Raw genomic sequence first — 6000 nt, 5'->3', positions numbered from 1 at the left:
TGTAATGTAGTTTTACATATTGTTAGTTGGGAGGTGACACATCTGAACTTGAAATGAAGAGCACGTGCTGCTTAAGTATGCTTAAGGTTCTTCAGCATTGCAAGTAGCGGGCAAGGGCAGCAGTCTTGCTCTGCCACCTTCAGAACATCTCACACAGGGAAAATGCTTTACATTCAAGTCTACTCTCTACAGAGCCAAAACAGATGCTGGTCATGCGATAGGTATCACTTGATAAATAAAGGAGGTAATGTTTTTGGCATTGTAAATATGGCACATAGATGTCATGAGTTCCATCAGAAAAGGAAAAAAATAATAATGAAATGAGAAAAAATACAAACATGGATGGGTAGAAGAATAAAAACAATGAGATTTTAAAAATAGAAATGCAGGAAAAAAATAAGCTTTATTTTTCTTGGAATTACTGTATTGAACATTCTGGAATACTGATCAGGCAGTAACTCATTAAATAGCAGTGGATCTTGATGTATAAAGCCTAGGTCCATATGGCAAGTCACAGGGTGACAGCCTTCTGGGAGGTAAATTGTCCCCACACGTTTGCCTTTTTAAAACGATTATACAGTGAACTTTTTATTAGGATGTAGGGGCAGATTACCACATGTAAAGGAGTTTCAAGGCAGCTTATCCCATCAAATGAAGACCTAAATGTGTTTGCATATTCTGTGAGGAAAATGTATACTTTATAAGAAAACACAACTTACCTTATATAGTGTTTCATCTTATTAGTTTCAAGTTATCTGTGATTCTCAGTATGTAAGTCCAACAATCAGAATGTAAAATGGAAACCATATTTAACTGAGCTAGGGAAACTTATTTCTTGTTCTTTCTCTACCATCAACCAGTTATGTACTGTTGGCAAAGCAGTGAGAAACATGAAGTCTACGTTTTCCTCATACATGAATTGAAAGGATTGAAATAGATTGTCTTTAAGTTGCATCATCATGTCCTTTCTTAGGGATAATTCAGTAGTATTGATGATATCATTTCACATCCAACTTCATTGGTCCTCCAGACTATCCATGACCTTGATAGAGCTGGGCCTGAGAGAACTGGTATTTATTGGTAAAGAGGAAAAAGGAGAGTATCATGACTCATAGCTCAAGAGAGTCTTTTACTTGCCTCCAAACTCCTTTGAAGTTGAACAAAGATAGATGGGGAGTTTCAGCTCTGAAATTGGGCATTAGTTACAGTCCAGAGAGTAAACGACAGCTCCCTCCATTCTCTTCACCAATTTTAATGAGTAAAATGAGGAAAGTTGGGTATGTTTAAATCTCTTTTGAAAGTGTGGAGCTGCATTTCATATTGTACAGAAGTTTCCCTCAGGTCAAGCACCCTTCTTTTAAATTTCACATGGCTATGCTTGTTAAACTATGAATATGCATCTGATTAATATTTCTAGAAACGAGAGTTTTAAAAAATCTACTGCAACACAATAGCCTAAGAGCATTATGAGATGGACATATTATTGGACCTGAATGGTCTACTGCCACGGATCCTCTATTATCTGCTTTCAGGTAAGAGGCAGGAAAGAAAGAAAGAAAATCACAGAATCAGAGGTCAGCTTTTCAATATGCAGTTACCCGCATTTCAAACACTCAGCTAGCAGGAGAACAAAGCAGAAGAAATAATACACCTTCTTTGAATGAAGGTGCATGGAAGGTGAAGTTAAGAATATCCTCGACTCTGCAAGAGTAAATTATTTTTTAAAATATGCAATGAGACAACTTACTTCAGCTGTAACTACAGGGGTATAAAATTTTATAACTTTTTAAAGTGCTGTTAGGAAAATGGATTATAGAAAGGGGAGGAGACAGAAGCATATATAGATGATAGAAGGAGAGATGAGGCAGGAGATATAGAACATGTACCCAAAGACTTCAAAAAGTACATAGCCTTTGTTGCAGAAATAATTCTCCTTTTTCTGGAAATATGTTTTAATATTAATATACAGGTTGGACATGGTGGTTCACAATAGCAAATTTCAGCACGTTGGCAGGCCAAGACAGGCAGATTGCTTGAGCTCAGGAGTTTGAGACAAGCCTGAGCAACATGGTGAAACTGCATCTCTCCAAAAAAAAAAAAACAATTTTAGCTGGGCATGGTGGTGTGCGCCTGTGGTCCCAGATACTCAGGAGGCTGAAACAGGAAGATCACTTGAGCCCAGGACGTCAAGGCTGCAGTGAGCAGTGATCGTACTACTGCACTCAAGCTTGGGCAACAGAGCAAGACCCTGTCTCCAAAAAAAATTGTTTATATATATGTGTGTGTGTGTGTATATATATATATGCATAAATATTACATATGTTAATTGTACATAGGTATGTATATATAAATATATATAGTATATGTATATATAAATATATAGTATATAGTATATATATAGTACTATATATAAATATATAGGTATACATATATAAATATATGTATATATAAATATATAGTATACAGATGTATGTATACATATATGTATATACTGCATATCAAAAATATTTCAAATATCATTGTATTTAATACACATACACATATAATAAATAATGGTGTGTGTATTTCACATAATTGATTATTCTAGCAGGATAGAAAATCTTGAATTGTAATTGTGAAATTGCTGGAAGTTTAGTGTGGACTAGATTGAGGATTAAAACCTCCAGGGGGGCCTAGTCTTGGAGGTGGAACCCATACCCATGAGTTCTACCTCCTGAACCTTATCAGGTTATCAGGGTATAAGTAATCTGAGAAAAATTTCCTCCTCATTTCAGCAGGGAAGTGGACATATGCACAGAGCATTCTTTTCTTTTAACATACGCAGAGAGCATTCTTTTCTTTTAACATACGCAGAGAGCATTCTTTTCTTTTAACAAAGGACTGCCTTCAAAAGAAACTATTTTACCAGAGCTCAACCACAGTGAGTTTGATCACAGCCTCACTGAACTGTGAAGGTAATAGCCCAGAAGCCTGGGCTCACCAAAGGCAGAAACCTACTACACAGCAACTGGGCATTGGTAAAATAACAGTTGATTACAGCTAAAAGAACTGCCAGGCTCAAGTCATATTTAAGAAGGAGTCTTTATAGAAATGCAGACAACAGGGAAGACAAAAACAAAGACACTAGAGAAAATTTTAGCCTCTGACACCTAAAGCTGCAGCAAACAATAAACAGTCTAACTCATGGCCAGGTAAACATGAAACCTCGTACTGAAGGTCTATCTGCCCCAATTTCTTTCACTCAGTAAATCATGCTGAGCTTTCAACAAAAGACTCAAAAAGCAACAACAACAACAAAAACAACTAAAAGTAACTCAAAAAAGCATAATAAAAAGACAGAGTCTGAAGCAATAAAGCAAGCATCAGAACCAGATATGGCAGAGTTTTAGAATCATCACACTGGGGATTTAAAATAATAATTAATATGCAAAGGGCTCTAATGGAAAAAATGGACAACTTGCAAGAACAGATGGTTTGTGTAAGCAGACAGATGGAAACTCTGAGAATGAAGGGTAGAAATCAAAACACTGTAATAGAAATGAAGAATGCTTTTGATGGACTCATCAGTAGACTGGACATGATCAAGGAAAGAATCAGAAAGCTAGAAAATATGTCAAAAGATACTTCTCAAACTGAAAAGCAAAAGGAAGAAGAATGACTGGGGAAAAAAAAAAGGGACAGAATATCCAAGAAACACAGGCAGCCAGGAAAGGTGTAACATACATGTAATGGGCATACCAGAAGGAAAAGAAGGTAAAGGAACATAAGAAAGATTTGCAGCAATAGTGACTGAGAATTTCTCTCAAATTAATGTCAGACACTAAACCACAGGTTCACCAAGCTCAGAGAACACAGAGAAGAGTAGATTTTTAAAAAATCACCCAGGCATATCATATTTAAACCACAAAAAATGAAAGATGAAGAGAAAATCTTGAAAGAAGCCAGAGGTAAAAATAAATAAATAAATAAACAAAAACCCCTTACCTATAGAGATAGTAACCAAGATAAGAATTGTATTGGACTTATTTTCAGAAACCATGCAACAAAGAAGAGAGTGAAGTGAAATATCTAGTATTGAAAGAAGAGAGCCACCCACCTAGAATTCTATATCCAATGCAGTTAGTTTCCAAAATTGAAAGATAAATAGACTTTCTAAAATAAACAAAATTCAGGGAATTTATCACCAGTAGAGCTGCCTTGCAAGAAGTGGTAAAAGAACATCTTCAGAGAGGGAAAATGATACAGGTCTGAAACTCAGATCTACATGAAAAAAAGGAAAGCATTTGGGGAGTGAATGAAGGTAAAATAGTACCTTTTTTATTTTTAATGGCTCTCACAGATAACAATTTGTTTAAAATAATAACAAGAATGTGTTCTGTAACTATAGCTTATGGATAAGTGAAATGAATGACAGCTATTACAAGGAACAAGAGAGAGGAATTAAGAATTCTGTTATAAAAGATACTTGCATTTCCCATAAAGCAGTATAGTGTTATTTGAAAGTGGACTTTGATTGCAAATGTATATTGCAAACTCAAGGGAAACCATTAAAATGTTAAAAGAAGTGACTCTGAAAGTCAGTTATTTCCCCTTTTTGGCACTTGTGTGTGGTACTGGAGTGATGAATACAAGAATCTATGCATCTGTCATAGACTGCACATGTCAAAGAGTAAATTTCAATGTTTGCAATCTAAGAAATCACAATTAAACCAGATGTCAAGGAATCCAAGAATGGACTGTCAAATGCCAAATGAATCTAATTGTATCACAGATGTAGGAATAACTTCATTGCAGAGAAGAGGAGGAGCTGACCTAAGTCAGCTTGGAAATATTTGGTTTTTGTTTGTTTGTGTTTTAACAGAAAATTATAAGGCTAAAGAGAAAGACTATTTGTAAGTTTGCTTTTCATGATGGCATGGATTAATATATCTTTAACTGCTGTGCATGTATACTGGGGTTGAACAAATAAGAAATAGATGGAGGATGGTTGGAATCAAGTTTCTCACTGTTGGAAAGGGAAGTTGCCAGTAAGCAAGAAGAAATAGCTAGAATGAATGCGTGATGAGTGTTGGATTAGAGTCAGAGACATCAAGTATTAACTTGTGTGTGTGTGAGTGTGTGTGTGTGTGTGTACATGCATACATGTACATATACATATACATACAGATGAAACATGGGGGCATATCAAAGGGATACATGAGCCAACATGAAAAAGCTCCCATTGCCAAAGCTAGACTGATTTGAGCAACACAAATAATATAGTATTGGATTACAATCCATAGGATAAAATAAATCCATAGGATAGAATAAATTCATTTATGATTTATAAATCATAAATAAATGATCACATATTCAAGTAAATAAATGAGAGAAGACACATCATCCTTACATAAGAACCTCATGCTGCATATGTAGATACTCTCCACTAAAAGGTGTGCAGCTTAATCTACCTTCCACACCCTTGGGAGTGGTCTGACTTTGGTAACTCACTTCCAAGAATAGAGTAAGGAGAGAGAAAATTATAACTTCACAATGGAGGAACTTGGCAAAAACTCCTTAACTGAGTGAAGAGGTTAAATCATATGACGTTATGTGGATAATCAAATATCCCCTGATACAACGTGATAAGACAAACTCTAATCATGAGACAATACATCTGCCTTTTACAAAATGGATGACCAGTACTCCTCAAAACTATCAAGGTCATCAAAAACAAACATACTCTGAGAAATTTTCACAGACCAGAGGAGGCTTAAGGGAGGAGCATGACAACGAAATGCAGTGTGGGATCCTGGGTTATACTCTGGAAAAGAAAATGGGCGTTAATGAAAAACTGGTGATATCAAAAGATGGAGTTTATTTATTAGTATATTCCCTGTACTAACTTATTTTTTTTTAACAAACATACAGTGGTAAGGCAAGATGATAACGTAGGGAAAACTAAAACTGAATGATGGATGTAGGGAAACTACTACCCCATACTCACTCAAAACTTTTCTG

Source organism: Homo sapiens, chromosome 2, assembly GCF_000001405.40.
Source record: "Homo sapiens chromosome 2, GRCh38.p14 Primary Assembly".
Taxonomy (NCBI): Eukaryota; Metazoa; Chordata; class Mammalia; order Primates; family Hominidae; genus Homo; species Homo sapiens.
This window is presented reverse-complemented; position numbering follows the sequence as displayed.